This window comes from Homo sapiens, chromosome 15 (assembly GCF_000001405.40).
Source record: "Homo sapiens chromosome 15, GRCh38.p14 Primary Assembly".
Classification (NCBI taxonomy): Eukaryota; Metazoa; Chordata; class Mammalia; order Primates; family Hominidae; genus Homo; species Homo sapiens.
The window spans coordinates 84,538,900-84,559,363 of record NC_000015.10 but is presented as its reverse complement, the minus strand read 5'-3'; the positions used below and the strand labels follow the sequence as shown (position 1 = coordinate 84,559,363).

General features: G+C 38.4%; 1 pseudogene across 1 annotated transcript in view; it reads left to right on the top strand.

The window, feature by feature from the left end:
- Positions 1-20,464, top strand: part of UBE2Q2P1 (UBE2Q2 pseudogene 1) — a 43,600-nt pseudogene that overhangs the window by 11,432 nt on the left and 11,704 nt on the right. Inside the window, exons 2-4 of the transcript NR_003661.2 lie at positions 4,294-4,398; positions 13,087-13,143; positions 17,080-17,219. The product of NR_003661.2 is annotated as a UBE2Q2 pseudogene 1 (transcript). The remainder of the gene's footprint in view (positions 1-4,293; positions 4,399-13,086; positions 13,144-17,079; positions 17,220-20,464) is intronic.

Sequence of the window (20,464 nt, the reverse complement as noted above, 5' to 3'; positions counted from 1 at the left end):
TGGGCCTAGTGTTTAAAAAAGTAAATGTATTTACATGAAGGAGAAAACAACTCACCTCCCACTCTTAGAGCCTCTGCCAGTTTATCATAACCTAGTTTCTTGAGAGAATAAGCTACATGTCTTCACCTTTTTTCACTGAGCTCATTATACTCTGGATTCTGCCTTCATCGTTGCGCTAAAATTTATCTCCTAGTTGCCAAATCCAGTGGCTCCCCTCTTAGTCCCCAAATTGACCCCTCTGCAGTATTTTGTTAATGTTGATTGTTCCCTTGTTGAAACATTCCTCCGTTCTTAATGTCCACCAATAAAGAGTTGGTTAAATAAAAATTATAGTGTACAGTTTTATAATAGAATATTCTGTTGTAGACCAAAAAAAATGCAGCCAGTCTTTCCATAAGAGCATGTGCAAACTTCTAAGATATATTAAGTAAAAAAGTAAGGCATAAAATATTATATATAATCTGACCCCTTTAGTATACAGTGTAAAAACATCTATGTCTGTGCTAGTTTATACTTGCTTTTTTCTCCCCTGTTGGATACAGGGAACTGTGAATAGTAGAACACAATTAAAAAAGACTGTGTGGCTTCTGTGCCAGGACCTGTGATAATTGGGTATAAAAGACAAAAAAGGTATTTCCCTATCCTCTGGGAAGGGACGTGATAATCAACTGGGACTTTTATCAGATTATTTTCTCCTGTTTTGATCTTATCACCCTGCCTTGGTCTCCTCCGAGCTCTTCTTCCTTGGCCTACTTCTTTCTTCTCTTCTCATTCTGTGCTTTCTCTGAGTAGTCTTTGACTCCCATTACTTAAGTCATGACCTGTGTTCCAGGGATTCCTAAATCTGTATTCATCTCCAGAGTTTCATACCCATATTTCTGTCTGTATATCATATATGTTAGGGAATCTCACTTGGCATGACGTGGGTGTTCAAGATGATATTTAAATTTTCATGTATCCACCTCCTAGCACCCTATCAGCCCCATCATGTGTTCCATCAATAATTCTCCTTGTCATTGTGAGTGGGACAAAATGAAATAATCAAAGTAGTCACCCATGCCTAAACCTGGGAACTGTCTTAGCGTTCTTTTATATGCTACTGTTCTCTTATCCCCCCAAACTAGTAAATTTCTAAGACCTGTCCTTCTGAATGTTCTTACTATTTTCCCTGTGATCTCAGTTTCTTCTTCCCATCCCTCAAATGCTTTTTGTGTGTGTGCGTGGTGGCGAAGAGAGTAAAATTGAAATTCATGGAAAATGTACTACCCTGTCTTTCTTTCTTTCTTTCTCTCTTTCTCTCTCTCTCTCTCTCTCTCTTCTTTCTTTCTTTTCTTGCAATGAAGTCTCGCCTCGCTCTGGTCACCCAGGCTGGAGTACAATGGCACAATCTTGGCTCACTGCAACCTCCACCTCCTGGGTTCAAGTGATTCTCGTGCCTCAACCTCCTGAGTAGCTGGGATTACAGGCATCTGCCACCATGCCCAGCTAATTTTTGTATTTTTAGTAGAGATGAGGTTTCATCATGTTGGCCAGGCTGGTCTCAAACTCCTGACCTCAGGTCATCCACCCACCTCGGCCTCCCAAATTGCTGGGATTACAGGTGTGAGCCACTGTGCCTGGCCACTACCCTGTCTTTCTTGTTGCTTGGTATGACTCACTAACCTGCTGCCTCTCTCCCACTGCAGTGGGATAATTTAGGAATCCGAGAGACTGAGGGGTTGAGGAGGATATATATTATTATTTAGGTGCACCGGCCCAGTCAAATTAACATCTAAAGGACTGAGCCCTGAACAAAGAGTCAGGTTACCTTTTAAGCATTTTGTGGGTTCGGGGGAGATCTGTGCAAGGGGAAGCATATTACAGAAGCAAGAAACAAAGACAGTTATTCAGTTGAGACATGCATTACATTATTTCTTACTTTTCAAGGAAAAACATGTTTTACAACTTGAGTTTATCTGTCTAGTGACCTTGCAGCTGCACAGCTAGAGAAACAGGGTCTTCACAATGCCTGGGAGAGGAGGAGAGATGAGGTTCACTAGCCTCAGAAAAACAGGCAGTTAATTTTTAAAGGACTCCACCTCTTTTTCTTTCTTAGGGGGAATTCGGTTTTTTTTTTTTTAACAAACAGTGTTTGCTTACACATTCTTTTTTATTATTATTTTTATACTTTAAGTTCTGGGATACATGTGCATAATGTGGAGGTTTTTTACATATGTATACATGTGCCATGTTGGTATGCTGTACCCATTAACTCATCATTTACATTAGGTATACCTCTCCCCTCCCCCCACCCCACAACAGGCCCCAGTGCGTGATGTTCCCCATCCTGTGTCCAAGTGTTTTCATTGTTCAATTCCCACCTATGAGTGAGAACATGTGGTGTTTGGTTTTCTGTCCTTGCGATAGTTTGCTGAGAATGATGGTTTCCAGCTTCATCCATGTCCCTACAAAGGACATGAACTCATCCTTTTTTATGGCTGCATAGTATTCCATGGTGTGTATGTGCCACATTTTCTTAATCCAGTCTATCATTGATGGACATTTGGGTTGGTTCCAAGTCTTTGCTATTGTGAATAGTGCCGCACTAAACATATGTGTGCATGTGTCTTTATAGCAGCATGATTTATAATCCTTTGGGTATATACCCAGTAATGGGATGGCTGGGTCAAATGGTATTTCTAGTTCTAGATCCTTGAGGAATTGCCACACTGTCTTCCACAATGGTTGAACTAGTTTACAGTTCCACCAACAGTGTAAAAGTGTTCCTATTTCTCCACATCCTCTCCAGCGCCTGTTGTTTCCTGACTTTTTAATGGTTGCCATTCTAACTGGTGTGAGATGGTATCTCATTGTGGTTTTGATTTGCATTGCTCTGATGGCCAATGATGATGGGTGTTTTTTCATGTGTCTGTTGGCTGCATAAATGTTTTCTTTTGAGAAGTCTCTGTTGATGGGGTTGTTTGATTTTTTTCTTGTAAATTTGTTTAAGTTCTTTGTAGATTCTGGATATTAGTCCTTTGTCAGAGGGGAAGATTGCAAAAATTTTCTCCCATTCTGTAGGTTGCCTGTTCACTCTGATGGTAGTTTCACATTCTTTAATTTCTTTTAATTCCTGTTTCACCCCAGCACTCCTGTAGCCCCTTCTGTGCCAGAGGTCAGAGTGTGCAGGTCTGTGTCCAGATCACCCTGCCTCATCTTCATTATATACTTAGCACAAAACAGAGCACATTGCGTGCATAATGAATCCACACTGGGGCTTGGCTTCCTTTTAAGCATGAGGATTTTTGGTGTATCCTAATTTACGGTTCAACCTTCCTGTTTCCACTTGCTTCATTGTTCACTTTGGGAAGGCTTATTCTTTGCTTTGTTAACCCATTCTAATCCTGTGTCTTCTTACTTTGTCATTTGTAAACCTGCTTCTTTCTCTTCATCTCTTTTCTTGGTCAGAGACACCCAGAAAATTGTTCCTGACCAAGTGAAGTGAGTGCTTATTAGATCCCATATGAGTCACCTTATACATTAAAAAACATTTTAAACAATGAAAACCACACTTGTGCACATAGTTTACCTTGCTTATTTCCTTAAAGTAAACAATCTTACAATACAATTTGGACTTAAACATGGAAACTTACAGTTATTTTTTGCAGTTTCCTAGTGAATGATTATTTTTTAGACAGACACTTAAGAGCCTACTAAGTATCAAGTGTTTTACAGGTTTCATTTAATCTTTACTATTCCGGGGAAGTTTTCATTTCCTTGTTTTACAGATGAGTACACTGAAACTCAAGGAATTAGATATGATATCCAAGGTCATCTAGATTTCCAGGCTCTGTCTGCTGGATCACATTTGCTTTTGTACTTTTAACTATGACTGGAATATATAATTTTATAATCCATGTGTAACAATACTGCCTGTGTGTGGTTTTTTTTCTTTTTCCTTTTTGGGTCACCTCATTAATGCAGTAATGTTCTCTTGTTTGAAGTTGTAAGTTTCTAAGAAAACAAGGTAGCAATGAGAAATTGGACAATGTCTGGAACTTCCTTCCTCTGCCTTTATTGTTGTCATTCCATTAGGTATCAGTTGTAGTGATTATACACCAAGCCATAGTAACTTTCTTAAACTAGAGGCTCCTGAAAATATTTCAAAGAGTTTTTTAAAATATCTGTAAGCTGCAGTTGAGCAGTAACAAACTTTTTTATTTCCTACTGGATTGATTGCAGTAGTCATACCATTATTGATGTCTTCTCAGTGCTCTTTAACATAATGCTTATTTACTGAAATGTGTTTTGTAGCTTCATCAGCAATGGAAGTGGCTGATATGTGGACTCTGCAGATTATATAACCTTCCTAAGCACCCGAATGTTGAGATGCCAGATCAACCACTACCCATGGGTCAGGTAAAGTAAAAATTCTGTAGTGTTCAAGAGCTAAAATAAATTGTCTCAAACAAAAGTCAAACTAGGATGATTTTTTAAAAATTATTCAACTTATTTAGAAGTTAGTTTTTCTGTTCCTATTGAATTGTTTGTTCTGTTTTAGATACTAAAAATAACATTTTCATTCTTTGGAACTGCTGGTATTTAGTATGGCAGGCAAACAATTGCCCTTTTCCCTAACACCAGCTTTTTGTTGTGAATATTCCTGGGGTCCATAAATGTTCTTGCTTCTTTCATTGTTTGTCTTTGCTTATTGACTTGCCTTCACCTAGAAATGCCATCTCCTTAAATCTGTCTATGCTTCTTAAGGACTCACCCAAATATTATCTCCTACAAGCAACAGAAATCTCCACTAGCTCACCACTACCCCTAACTTCTTCCTGGATTTACCTATTTAGGCATCAGCTATTGACTTTTTAGTATAATACATGAGAATTTAGCTCTTATACCACCCACTTTGCCTTCCTCAGATATTATCTTTAGTGATATAAGTAATCACTAATTATCATTAGGACTTCGAGAAGCCAAATTTTCTAGAATATTTAGGATAGAATATTTCTTTTCTTGGTGCTGCTTTTTGTTTTGCAATGTCTTCTCATAACAGTAATTTTTAATTTAAAAAATTCTGTTGTAGCCCTTTCTGTGAGATCTCCTTCTCTTCCAAAGCCTTTGGCTCCTGTGTGCCCATTTTGGCAGGTTGTTCTTCGGGTTGGCTGTGCACATGTCATCTTGAGGTTTTTCTCATCTGCTCTCCTAGAGTACATCCATTGTTTCCTGGATCCCATGTCATCTTTCTTGGCTTTCCCTTTGTCATTTTACCTGACTATGTCCTCAAGTAAAACCCTAAGAAAGCATGGAGTGGTATATTTTCTGATCTCTGGCTTCTGAAAAAATACAATGCAGTGTTTGGGTTTTGGAGCCAGTCTGAGATAGGTTTGAATCTTGGTTCTATTACTTCTTAGCTGTATGCCCTTGGGCTGATTCCATAATTGCTCTATGCATCAATTTCCATTTGCAAAATGGGGGAACCGGTAATAGTATTAGTACCTATGTTTCTAGGGAGCTATGAGGATTAAATGAGTTGGTACATGTAAACCATTTAGAACAGTGCCTGGTACTTAGCCCATCTCCATCACTATTCACTTTTGTCATAGTCTACCCTCACACTTGATTGATAGTTTGGTTGATTATGTACTTCTAGGTTGAGGATAATTTTACCTTAGAATTTCAAAGTCTGTGCTGTTGTCTTCTAACCAGTCATGGTGGTGAAGCCTCATGTCACCCTGAGTTTCACTCATTTATGCATGACTTTCTCTCTGGAAGCTTTTAGGAGTTTGTCTTTCCCTTGGTGAGCTGAAATAGCACAACATTGTACTTAGTGTGTGTCTTTTTTCATTCACTGTGCTGGGCACACTGAATCGATAGGCCTATGGATAGGCTCTTTCAATGTTGGAATCTTGAATCTTGTCATATTTTTGTTAACTTTCTCCTTTCCATTTTATTTGTTCATTTTGAAGTGTCTGTTAATTGGATTTTAGTCCTCTTGTTTGAGTCTTGTATCTCAGGTCGTTTCTAATTTTTTTTAATTTTAAGTTCTGGAATATTTTTCTTATTTTTTGACTTTTAGGAAATTTTATTTGGACAGTCTTAACTTTAAGTTTTGTTTTGGTTATTTATTGTTGCTTAACCAATTTTCCCAAAACTTAATGGCATAAAACTACACATTTGCCTATCTGTCACTACTGTATCAGTTAACTGGGGATAGCTGGACAGTTTTTCTGCTGGTCTCATTTGGCATCTCTCACTGTGTGGTTAGATGGTGTCAGGGACTGGTCATTTGGATTCTCAGCTGCAGTGGAATGTCTGAGACGGCTACTTCACCCACAGGTCTGCTGCCTTGGTGTTTCTTCATGTGGCCTTCCTCTCTGCATAGCATCTCATCCTTTCAGGCCTCTTCAAGTGGTTTCTCTTTCTCCAAGAGGATAGTTGGTACTTATTTTGGCTACTAGAAGCACAGAAGTGGAGCTGCCAGTGTTCTTAAGGCTTAGACCTGGAACAGGTCCAGTGTCATTTCTACCAAATTCTATAGGTTAAAGTGAGTCTTGAGGCCAACCCAGATTCACTGTGGGATGGGCCTGTCCAAGAACATGATAACAGGAGGTATGGCTCATTGGGGACCAACTCCCAAGATGAACCCTGAGTTCTAAGAACTTTTTCTTCTCTGATTATTCCTTATTCATATTCTATTTTTGTTTTATTCTTGTAATATATTCACAAGTGTCTTTATGAAGTGATTTTGATACTCTTTTGTCTTCACCCTAGCATCTCTTTGTTCTTTAATAAATTTTTTTCTTAGTTCATTTTGGTCTTATTTTTCTTCTTAAAACCTTTCCTTAAGTATCTATTCTATGTTGCTTATCATTTGTAGTCTTTTTTGAGACGGAGTTTCACACTTGTTGCCCAGGATAGAGTGCAATGGTGTGATCTTGGCTCACCACAACCTTTGCCTCCTGGGGTCAAGCGATTCTCCTGCCTCAGCCTCCTGAGTAGCTGGGATTACAGGCATGTGCCACCATGCCTGGCTAATTTTTGTATTTTTAGTAGAGAAGGGGTTTCTCCATGTTGGTCAGGCTGGTTTCGAATTCCTGACCTCATGTGATCTGTCCACCTTGGCCTCCCAAAGTGCTGGGATTAAAGACGTGAGCCACTGTGCCTGGCATGTACTCTTTGTTTTTTAATTCTCTTTTTTGTTCATTCATATTTGAGAGAGGTACTAAAAGACTGGGAGGCTGGGAGTGGTGGCTCATACCTACAATCTCAGTGCTTTGGGAGACTGACATGAGAGGATCACTTGAGCCCAGGAGCTCAAGACTAGTTTGGGCAATATTGTGAGACCCCATCTTTAAAAAAATAAATTAAAAAAAATAGCCAGGTGTGGTGACCTGTAGTCCCAACTACTTGGGAGGCTGAGGCAGGAGGATCGCTTGAGCCCAGGATGTTGAGGCTAAAGTGAGTTGTGATCATGCTGCTGCATTCCTGCATTCCAGCCTGGGTGAAAGAGCAAGATCCTTTCTCAAATAAATAAATAAATAAATAAATAAATAAATAAATAAATTAAATTAAATAAAAATTAAAAATAAAAAATTGATTGGGAGTTCTTCATGGCCAAGACTTGGCAACTGATAGCTTTTAGGGGGGAACATATGCTGATTCCTAATTGTCATCCTCTACCCCTCTATCTTATCTCCCGGTGCAATCATAAATGATGGCTGGAACTACTCCATTTCTCTGGAGGTGAAATCTACATTCTCTTGTCTGAGGTAGATATGTTTGCTTGGATTCTGCTTAAGGAGATGGAGGAGAGCAGTGTGTTTCAGGGCCTGGAAAATGTTCTCTATATAGGCTTTTGATTGATGTCTGTTTTCAGTCTTGCCTATCAGTCGACTCTCGGGGGTACCTGGTGTCTGAGTCTAGAACCTTTCCAGGTTGCTGTGGGACAAATTAGCTTCCTTCTTATTGGTATCCCCCTGACCTCCACTTTTGTTTGCTTGCTCCATTAATTAACCATTTTCCATTTACTGTCATTTTCTAATGGAGGTGAATTCTCTTCTGTGGGTAACCCCATTTCTTTTTTTTGTAATTGTGTGTTTATATAATGTTTATTCTTCACTGTATTTCTAGTGGAGCCTCAGGACAAAGAGCAGATGGTGGAAATATGTGTTCAGTGTTCAGTTTTTTTTCTGTAAGACATCTGCAACTTGTGTTTTTCACTGAATATCACATGGACTTAATGCATATAGAGCTACCTTGTTTTTCATGATTGTGCCTACAATTCTATGGTGAAATATAATTTGTGAATTACCTGATGAGATTTTCCTAATGTTGAATCATCCTTGCATTCCTATAATAAACACTGTTAGAATGGCTATGTTAATATTTTATTTTTGCATTTTTACTTCTGTATAAAATAAGATTATAGTTTTGTTTGTTTCTTTTAAGGCTCTTATTTCATTTCAGTATCAAGGGCATGCAGGGCTAACTTGGGAAGCTTTACATCTTTTTTCTAAGACCTAGGATGTAGATCTAGTTTACACAGTAATTTTCAACTGCAGGAATATTTTGCCTCCCATGGGACATTTGGAAATATCTGGAGACATTTTTGTGGTCACAACTGGTCACGGTCGGGAGGTCTTATTGGCATTCTGTGGGTAGAGGGGATGTTACTAAATGTCCCACAACACACCAGGAGAACCCTCACAAAGAATTGTCTGGCCCAAGATATCAGTATTGCTGAGGCTGACAAACCCTGGTTTAAATAAATGTCCAATTTGGAGGATGAGTCTTTGTCTTTTTCCTTCTTCTGCGTATTGGTCTCCAGATTTTCCGTTTCTTCAGTTAGTTTTCGTAAGTGTAGATTCTTTAAAGAAATGAACACTTCATCCATACTTCTAAGGTGTTGTAAAGATGTGTAAAGTTTTCACTTTTTGCATCATATTCACATGTGGCTATATGCCCTTTTGTCTTCAAAGTTTTCTTTATCTTGATCACTTATCAGAGGCGTGACTGTTTTATTATCTTAGGCTTTTGAAAGAATCCTCCTTTAGTTTTATTTTTTAAATTTAGTGGGTTGTTTTCACATTTTCCTTATGTCTTAATTATTTCCCCTTTTTGTTTATTTTGCTTTTTCTAGTTTAGTGGATCAATGTAATTTAACCTGCTTTTTAAACAAACATGTAAGGGTATACATTTTCTTTGGGTGCTGTTTGACTTCATTGCACAAGTTTTAAAATCTATTTTCTAAATAGTTTGTATTTTCCAAGTCATTTTATTGCATCCTCTGTTCACATTGCTCTTACTATTAAAACTTTTTATTTGCCTGGCATGGTGGCTTATGCCTGTAATCCCAGCACTTTGGGAGGCCAAGGCAGGTGGATGACCTGAGGTTGGGAGTTCGAGACCAGCCTGATCAACATGGAGAGAGCCCGTCTCTACTAAAAGTACAAAAATTAGCTGGGCATGGTGGTGCATGCCTGTAATCCCAGCTACTTGGGAGGCTGAGGCAGGAGAATCGCTTGAACCCAGGAGACAGAGGTTGCAGTGAGCTGAGATCACGCCACTGCACTCCAGCCTGGGCAACAAGAGTGAAATTCCACCTCAAAAAAAAAAAAAAAAAAAAAAAGACATGTATTGAAATTATGTAAAACATAAGCTTAGTGTAACATATAGTTAGAGCGAGTACTTGGGAACTAATACCTAGCCAGCACCAAGGTGAAGAGAAGGCACATTGCTTGCACTACAGAAACCTTCTGCAGGCTGCTTCCTGATCACCATGCCTCTGTACGCTCATCTTGCCTTATGTTTCTCTAGTGTTATCACTCATATATGCATCCTTCAACAATACAGTGTAGTGTTGCCTATTATTTGGGCTTTTGAAAATCATAGTATATGTATTTTTTCATATCTTTGTTGTGCTCAACGTTGTGTGTGAAATTTGTTCCTATTGTGTGTAGCTATAGTTCTTTTGCATTGCTGTATTTACTCCATTGTTTGAATACACCATACCATTTATCCCCTTGACTAGATACAGACATGTGGGTGGTTTCCAGTGTTATTAGGAACAGCGATTGCTGCTATGGTCATTCTTGTCTGTATTTCATGGTACCCTTGTGCCAGCATTTCTCTGGGGCTCATACTTAGGAGTTGGATGACTGAGGCATGAGGATCAATTTCTTCTTTTACCCAAGAGTTATCTAGAACAAAAAAATTTAAAAAGCATTTTCAGGTGGCTTTTGAGGTATTTTTAGTGCATCAATATGGTCAGAGAATATGGCCTGTGACCTTTCAGTGAGATTTTCAGCAATCATTTAGACTTCACTATTGGTGTTACTGTTGCCTTTGCTTATTGCTCTTCTTGTATTATGTCTCCTGCTCCCTGCCCCTCAAGTATATCCCTGAATAATATCCTGGGTTTTTTTTTTCCTAGAAAGGGTTTGTGGGGATGTGTATGGAGTGTGTTCTGTGCACTTGCTGTCTGTTATCATTTGTTCAACAAATATTTGACTCTGTATAAAGTACTCCATCCATATCGGTGTGGAGAATCCAGAGGCAAACATACACAGATATGCTTCCTGTCTTGAGGGAGCTAGATATAGAATTCTGAGATCATAATTGAGTTTCTTTCCAGGTCTTTATACTTTTATGTTCTGATATTGTTGTAGATGAAAAGTCTGATGCCTATCTGATTCTTAGTTCTTTCTGATAGTTAGTATGATTTTCTGTGTAACTGTAAAGTGTGGGGGTTTTACTTTTTTTTTTTTTTTTGAAACAGAGTCTCACTCTGTCACCCAGGCTGGAGTGCAGTGGTGCTATCTTGGATCACTGCAACCTTCACCTCTCAGGTTCAAATGATACTCCTGCCTCAGCCTCCTGAGTAGCTGGGACTACAGGCATGTACCACCATGCCCAGCTAAATTTTGTATTATTAGTAGAGATAGGGTTTCACCATGTTAGCCAGGATGGTCTCGATCTGCTGACCTTGTGATCTGCCTGCCTTGATCTCTCAAAGTGCTGGGATTACAGATGTGAGCCACCTTAATGTTTTGCTGAGTCATGTCCATTGTGTCCTGGCCCTTCTGCAACTGGTGTTTTGTTTTGTTTTCTTTTTTGGTTTAGAGGTCTTATTTTTACCTCCTAGAATTGTCTTTTGCATAGTAATCTGTTTTGTATTTTGTGGATACAGTATCTTCTCAATTACTGCTAAAGATTCCAATTAGGTTTTAAAATTCTGCTTATTTCCTTCATTAGCAGTGCTTCAGGTCATTCGTGCTTCTTTGACTTGGCACCTTCCTTTCAGGTTGCTAATTTTCTTCAACTCTCTGATGATACATGGTTATCTGTTCATTTATAGGTGAGGTATACCTTTGATCAGTATGAGTTGTTATGAGTGTCTTCAGAATTGTCACTCTTTTCTGCTGTGGCCTCCCCCTCCTTGTTGGCAGACCTGTGCTCTTCCTGTGGCATGAGGGTGGGGAGGTGCTGGTTGGTGAGCTTTCCAGATTTTGAGCTTAAAGGAAGAGGCAGAGCCTGTTATAAGATTTTGATGCTGCATTGAGTTACATTGAAAAAGCATTCTGTCTTTTCTCTCTGGTTTTGACACTGATAGTGAGAGACCATCAAGACAGGCTTCCTATTACCAGAGTGATCCTTACCAACTATAGTTGGGACAGTACAGTGAAGAATGTTTGATCCTTCAAACAGAAGTGGCCCCTCCATTATTTGGATTGTGTTTGTGGCTTTCTCGCGCCCAGCAGTCTGATTTCATCTGCTTTGTATCTTCTAGCATGTCCTTATAGTTTTGGTTCACTAAGGGTATTCTTTTTGTATTTGTTGTTTTGCTGCTGCTGCAGCCGACTTACTCTCTTTTATAAAGTTCTGTCATTTCAGTGGGGTTTTAGAAAGAGGACCAGGTCACATCTTGAAATGAAATTAATCTTAGGATTTCACAGCCCTAACTCACTTTTTGTTTTGATTAAATTACTTCCCCTTTTTGATGGGGTAGGGGCTCAGCTATCTCGTGTAAAATTAAGGCTAGTAACTGGGCTAGTGGTGACAGACCCAGATGCATGTGAGAATCACCTCAGAGAGCTTTTGCAAAACAGATTCTTCTGCAAAAATGCTCTTTCAACCACTGATGCAACCAAATTCTTTGGGACTTTGAGGCTAGGTATATATTCTTTAGATACCCAGAATAATTGGCTTTGGAATATAAGAATTTAGGGAAATGAAGAAGGGGTGAATTACATTTTGGAAGCTGCTGCTTAGATACTGCTGAGACCTTTGTTGGTCTTCATTTCTGGATCCTAGTTTCTTGATCTTTTACATATTCTGGGTTCTAACCTGAACTGGCCTTTATGGTTAAAGATGTATTTATATACTGTGTCCTGGCCAGGAAGCTTGCCTTTTGACCTTTGCCCAAACTGGGTACGAAGGCCCCTCCTAAAAATTCATTAGATTAATTTCTGAACTTGATAATTGTAATTTGTGTTAATTGGTAAATTGTGTCTTGTAGAGAGATATTTGATAGTAAATTACATGTTTTTAAAAAGACAATTTGCTTTATAGTGAGGTGGTAATCAATTCATACTCTTAGTTTTGGGAAGTGTCTATTATAAGTAACACATCTGACCTCTTAAAATGTAAGGAAATTGAATTTATGTAATGATTCAGGCTTTTCAAAGTTAAAAATGTAGCTGTTTTGAGGAATTGATAGTTTGGTGTATTTATTTTAAACAAAATAATCCTTTGATCTTATGCACATAGCCGTACAAATAAAATGTTTTCTTATTTTAAATTAGATTATGTTTTAAAATTTTTTTCAGTTTTGCTTTATATTTGACTGATTGCTTTTCTTTATTCCTAAGGCATTCATTAAGTTGAATTGTTCAAAATTGTTTCATTTTTAAAAGCTGAGAACTGTTGTTTGTCAAATCAAAGTTGGATTTAAAAATGCACATTTTAACTTTAATAAGCTCTCTGGTAGTGGGACTGCAGTGACAGATGGTTGGGAGTTTGTCACTAAAGCTATGACACCAGTCTTCTAAGGTGCATATTTGTTCTGTGTAGTTCTGGCAGATTCTTTCTCTATTTCAGAATGGGACAACAGAAGAAGTGACTTCAAAAGAAGAGGAAGAAGAAGAGATGGATGAAGTGGGTATTTTATATAAGAATAACATTTTGGCCAGGTGAGGTGACTCATGCCTGTAACCCCAGCACTATGGGAGGCCATGGCGGGTGGATCACCTGAGGACAGGAGTTTGAGACCAGCCTGGCCAACATGGCGAAACTCTGTCTCTACTAAAAGTACAAAAATTAGCCGGGCATGGTGGTAGGCACATGTAATCTCAGCTACTCAGGAGGCTGAGGCAGGAGAATTGCTTGAATCCGGGAGGTGGAGGTTGCAGTGAGCCAAGGTCGTGCCACTGCACTCCTGCCTGAGTGACGAGCAAGACTCTGTCTCAAAAAATATATATATATATATATCATAAATATCTTCTGTTTTGGACATTTGAGTAATTCTCTAATCTCCTTTATAAAGAACTATTAATATGGAATAATTGAAAGCACATCGTATTTGGAATGGAATGTAATTTATAAATTCTGGCTTTACCTCTAACTCATGATATGCCTTTGAGCAAATTGTTTTATCTGAATTCTTGGATTTTATTTTCTGGAAAACAAAAGCTCTTAAGTTTTAACACTAAAATTATATTTAATACTAATCAGTACTTAACCTGTATTTGGTTATTTTTTGGAAGAGAAACTACTGAGTTTAAAAAATTTTATGTTTGCATAAAAGGAGAATTTCAGAATATTTTAGAGACTACCTGTCAGAAGTAGTGAAACTGTCTCTTGCTGAAAAATCATTCAAAGAAATTTGTCTTAGTCTGTTTTATAGTATTGTGACAGAATAACAGAGAGTGAGTAATTTATGAAGAGCAGTCATTTATTTTCTGACAGTTCTGGAGTCTGGGAAATCCAAGATGAAAATATCAACATTTGGTGTCTCAGGACCTTCTTGTTTTATCCTCACATGGTAGCAGGCAGAAGGGCAGGAGAGCAAGCTGGTCCAATGTGTGAAGCCTCATTCATAAGGGCCTTAATCCCATGAAGGAGAAAGGAGCCCTCTTGGCCTAATCACCTCTTAAAAGTCCTACCTCTTAATATCATCACATTGGCAACAGTTGAATTTTGGAGGGAATACATTCAAACAGTAGCAAATTTAGTAGAGCAAATTCCAAAGACATTGAGCCTAGGCCAGTTGTCAGTCATGGGTATAATTTTAGATGTTTTCTGGCTCTGAAGCCTTGCATTTAAATTTGAACTTCAGAACAAAGATCTATGTCTCTGCATTGACCAAATAGAATGTATGTGAATTCCATGGTATTGATTGTTTTAAAAGATTTTTTTCTGTTTGAGGTCTTATAATTAATTTAGGCTTTCATTTTCTTGGTTTGGAAATTATTAATCTAAAATGTACTTTAGAGTGCTTCAGAACTAAAAAAGTAGTGTTGTAGGCTTGCTTTTGTTTGTTTTTTGAGACAGGGTTTCACTGTCACCCAGGCTGGAGTGCAGTAGCGCCGGCATGGCTCACTGTAACCTTGAACTCCTGGGTTCAAGCGATCCTCCTGAGTAGCTGGGACTACAGGCCGGTGCCCCACGTCCAGCTAATTTTTATTTTATTTTATTTTATTTTATTTTATTTTTATTTTTTATTTTAGCGTTTGAGTCTCACTCTGTTGCCCAGGCTGGTCTTGAACTCCTGACCTCAAGTGATCCACCACCTCAGCCTCCCAAAGTGCTGGGATTACAGGTGTGTGCCACTGTGCCTGGCTGTAGGCTTGTTTTATGAGTCTGGGAGTAAAATACTTCTTAAAATTGTCCAATTAGAATGAAAGTCTGTTTTAATGTTTTTATGCAGTTTAGCTTAGGTGGAATAAACTGCATGAAAACATTAAACCTTTTCCATAGGTCAGGCAGCCATTGTACTAAAGTTCATGAACCCTTTCATTTTCCCTTCACAAGATAAAAAACAAGGGACCGCAACTTTGAGGGAAATCTAGAAAGGTAGGAGACTGGACTTTGGAGTTGTCAGATTAGGACAGGTGAAAAGCAGATATTCTAGGCTCCTAAAATAATGTGGGAACAGGCCCAGAGCAACTTTGGACATGGTGTGTTTGGGTGCACTGGATGCTTTTCTTTTGAGAAGGAAGGTTGATGTGTTGAAGTCATGGAAAGCAAGATTGTCCAGAAAAGACAGATGGACAGAAGTCTTGAATTTGAGACAGGCATGTTTCTATTTGGTGTGTTTGTTGATAAGAAGGCCTTAAGCAGGGAATCGTGTGCTGAGAATATTGTTTTAGAAAGATATGTTGAATTCTGTTTGGGATGTGCTGATTAATACTTAGGTGGAGAAGTTTTGTGGATGGGAACATGACTGAGGTTGAAGGTACAGGTGGAAATACAGGCCAAAGGCATTTGTGAGCATTGTGGGGAAAACAAATGTGGATAGAAGATCAGGGCTGAAAGGTGCACACAGGGAGAAGGGAGCTCCATGAAGTACAGACTCATGGGCAGAGTTTGAGTGAAGGTAGTCGGTAGTCTGGTCTAGAAGTCGGTGAATTAGCTGGCTTGGGAAAAAAAATCGAGATAAATATAAACTACCCCTTTAGAGATTTTGGCAATTGAAGTAGAAATATAAGGTAATTGAAAAAAGTTAGGATTTAAACAATTCTGCATATGTTTGTATATATGTAAGAACAGATAGTATGGGAAGGGAGGGAGCAGAATGATGTGAATAAAGATGTTATTCTGTGGGGTATTATTCAAATTCTTTTGAAATTATTATTAGTTTTTGAGATAGGGTCGCTGTCACCCAGGGTGGAGTGCAGTGGCATGATCATAGCTTACTGCAGCCTCGAACTCCCGGGCCCAAACAATGCTTCTATTTCAGCCTCCTGAGCACCTGACATCAAATTCTTTTTCTAACTTATTTTTAAGTTATTAGCATCAATAGGTGCTTACTACATAAAACCATAAACTTGGAAATTAGGGGAAAGCACCAAATGTCTCCAGAGATAACAACTAAAATTAATTGAAATTAACATTTCAATGTAAGTTGTTCTGGTCTTTTTCTGTGCTTATTTCAGCATAATTTAAATTCTTTCTATTCCTTTGTGTAATCCATTTTTCATTTCAAAGTTTTTCGATACAGGAGAAATTATGCCGTGTTGATATTTCAGTGGCTTCTTAATAGTTCATGGAATTGAGTTAACTGTTTTGCTATTTTTTCACATGCAGATTTTGTGTTTGTTTTTGTGGTTGCAAGGTTGAAATAGGTATCCTTATGCCTAAATTTGTGTTTACCTCTTAGACTAGTTTCTTGTAATACAGTTCTAGAGGTCGAGTGTCTGGAACAAACTATGAACACTTAAGGTTCTTGACACCTGCTGCTAAACTGTTTCAAAGGTTCCTCTTAAGAGGAGATTTAAAAGATGGCTTGGCTGGGCGTGGTGTCTGATGCCAGTAATCCCAGCACTTTGGGAGGCTGAGGTGGGCAGATCACTTGACGTCATAAGTTTGAGACCAGCCTGGCCAACATGTTGAAACCCTGTCTCTATTAAACATACAAAGAAATTAGCTGGGTGTGGCGGTGTACGTCTGTAATCCCAGCTACTCAGGAGACTGAGGCATGAGAATCACTTGAACCTGGGAGGCAGAGGTTGCAGTGAGCAGAGATTGCCCCACTATACTCCTGCCTAAATGACAGACTGAGACTCTATCGTACAAAAAAAAAATAAAATAAATTAAAGAAGTAAATAAATAAATGATGGCTTATTTCATAATAGTTGTGACTTTGTAAAGCTTTTAAATCTGCTTTCCCCAGAGTCTAGCTTTTAAATAAAATACAGGATATAAAAGGTGGGAGCCTCTTGAATGGAATGTGGGGGCTTTTTCTCTCTCCCCATAGGATAGATATATTCTGTTTCCTGTCCCCCACCGAGTCAAGAATAATTTAAGTTTTGGCATAAGAAACTGCTGAAGGAAAGTGGGTTGAATCGGCTAATATTTTTCTTCTTTTTGCAGGATATAGAAGACTTAGATCACTGTGAGATGAAAGAAGAGCCTACTAGTGAGAAGAAGTTGGAGGATGAAGGAACTGAAAAAGAAAACTGGGCAATATTAGAGAAAATTAGGAAGACTGAAAGGCAAGGCCATTTAAATGTGTAAGTGTGTATAAATATCTGTACTTTTTGGTGAAGTAATCATAGTTAATACCAGGAAATTCATGAACATGCTGATCTCAGCTGCTCTCCTCCTCCATTCCTGCCTTAGTGGTGGATTCAGTCATATGTTTATTGGTTTTGAGATAGGGTCTTGCTCTGTCACCTGGGCTAGTGTGCAGTGGCACAATCATAGTTCACTGTAGCCTTTATCTCCCAGGCTCCAGTGGTCCTCCTACCTCAGCCTCCCAAGTGTCTCAGACTATAGTCATGTCCCACCACACCAGGCTAATTTTTTTGATTTTTAGTAGAGATGAGGCCTCACTATGTTGACCATGCTGGTCTTGAACACCTGAGTTCAAGCAGTCCTACTACCTTGGCCTGCCCAAGTGCTGGGATTACAGACATGAGCCACCATGCCTAGCCACACTCATATGCTTTGTTGCCCAAGGTTATCTTTCTCATCCATGAATAGCCACTTTTTACCCTGTTGATCTGCTCTTCACATCCTGGAACCACCTGCTGATCCCTGTATATGCCCCTTTCCAGCTTGTCTATGCTGTGTTCTCTGCTTACCTTCCTTCTGTGGCATCTGTATATTCAAGTTCATTCTCTCCTACAAAACACAACTCAAATTATTTCTCCTTCATGAAGCTGACTTTGATCCATCCTGCTCTGACCAAACCAAAAGTAGGGTTTCTCTTTTGACTTAACATCTCTTTTATGTGAAGCGGCAGGATGGGAAAGGAACACAGAGTTTGGTGACAAACACACCTTTTATGGTTTCACTTTGCGCAACTCTAAAATATGGATAGACAGTACATATCTTTTGGATGGTTGCTATGAAAAATAAATTAAAATGATGCATGTTACACATAAAATGCTTAGACAGAGCAGGGAAACATCAAATGATTGTCTGAACACTTACTGCTTCCTGCCTTGTATTAGAGCTATTTACCAACTCCACAATATCCGAGGACCAGTTACTTTGTCTTGGGCACAGGTTCTCCAAAACAGGGAATGAATTGTTAGGCAAGCAGATGTCAAGTGTTGCAATCAGATAGATAACTCTCCCCCCTTCAATCTTATTTGTATATTAATTTAATTGGTAATTTTTCATACAGCAAAGAAATTTAGTTAATCCCCATATCTTGATTATTTAAAAAACTAAGATTGTAGCATTTGAATTAATGTTACTGTACTTTCTGTGTCTTGTGATCAAGTCCACTTTGAGTTATCTTCAAAACAAGTAAAAATTATTGAATAATTTTGTATGACAGATACTATGCTAAATACTTTATACTTAATACTTTATAGATCTTTTCATTTAGTCATCATAGCCACTGTGTGAAATAGGTGCTGTTTATACTTTAGAGATAGGAAAAACTCATATTTTATAGATATGAAATTAGTTCAGGATTATATAGCTAGGAGGTAATATTTTTATAAACTTGATTTTTTTTCCCCTTCAAAGTCTAGTGCAGTCTTTAAAAGCTTTAGTTTCACATGACCAAAAAGTAGTTCCATTTTTATTTAGTCTTAGGATAAGATATCGATGTGTTTTCATCTTTAGAGAAGTCCCTGCACTGAAAAACTGAAACCAGTTGCATGTAGGCACACATGGTTCTCAGTGTCTTCATGTGTGAACTAGACCATCTGTGTAATATTCTTGCTTGTAGTCTTATGAATGGAAGCCTATTTTACTTAATATTGTGTCACCTTGAGTATTTTCAAATATTGCTGGGGTTTGAAATAGACTCATACTGAATTCTGTGCTATCGTGGAGTCCATGGTGGTATGAACATGTTGGCTAGAGTTTTTTAGGTGATAGGAAAATGGAAATGAACCAGACTTGTGTCTAGTTTTATATTCCCTTGAAACTTCATAATGCTTCATTTAATTGGACTTTTTTCTTTTACTTCTTAAATTGTTGAATGGTGATCCATTTTTGTTGTAATCTTTTTCTTTTCTTTTTTTTTCTTTTGAGATGGAGTCTCGCTCTGTGGCCCAGGCCAGAGTGCAGTGGCACCATCTCAACTCATTACTATCTCCACCTCCCAGGTTCAAGTAATTATCTTGCCTCAGCTTCTCCAGTAGCTGGGACTACAGGCACGTGCAACCATGCCCGGCCAACTTTTGTATTTTTTTAGTGGAGATGGGGTTTCATCCTGATGGCCAGGCTGGTTTCAAACTCTTGGCCTCAAATGATCCGCGCCCCTCAACCTCCCAAAGTGCTGGGATTACAGGTGTGAGCCACCGTGCCTGGCTACTGTAATCTTTTAGAGCAGGTTGAAATACCTTAAATCTTTAAATTAGTTGGCTCAGTAGACCCTGGTAAACAGCAGCTTTTGTGTTTCAGGCTGCAGTGTCTGGGTCAGTGCAAGCTTCAGATAGACTTAAGAAAGAGTTCAGGGACTTATACAGATCACAGAGTTATAAGACAGGTAAGGATCTCCAAATCCCTGCTCTTCTTATCATTCTTTTGTTCTTTTCTGTTGTCAGATTATAAATGTCGTTTCTTAAAACTGGACAGAAATGGAAATGTTTACTAGCTTTATTTTGTGAAACTCAAATGTAATCAAGTTCCAAAAGATGTAGGGAGTAAGATAGGATGAGTTTGCTTGTTTTTTGGAATTAAAGAAATTGTTTTTATAGGTCCATTGGAATTTTATTTTGCCATCTTCCTGATAGAGTGAATATTTGCATGATTTTTATCTTCTGGCAAAAAGCTTGAGCAATATTGCTTGATAATTTAATACAAATAATACATTTCAATATACAGAGAATGATTGCCAAGTTGATTTTGTGATTTTTTCCCCCAGTTTTGAAAGCAACATAATCAACTCTTATTGTGGAGGTAGTTATGTTATTACTTTTAAAATATATAGGTGGAGTACACTTATAGTCCCAGCTACTAGGGTGGTAGGAGACTGAGGCAGGAAGATCTTTTGAGCTTGGAAAAGTCAAGGCTGCAATGAGCCGTGATTGCACCATTATATTCCAGCCTGGGTGACAGAGTGAGACACCCTGTGTCATAAAACAAAAAAAAGGGAGAGTGGGAGGTGGGATACATATTTATATATGTATATATAGGACAGTTGTAGAAAAATACCAATTTTTTGGTGATTTAACTTTTTTGACAGCTCTGTCCATGGCAAATTTTTCTCCTTGAACAGCTTGGCTAGTAATACAAGTTTAGGAAAGCATATTAAACTTTTTTTGAATTCTTGAGAAAATTATATACATGT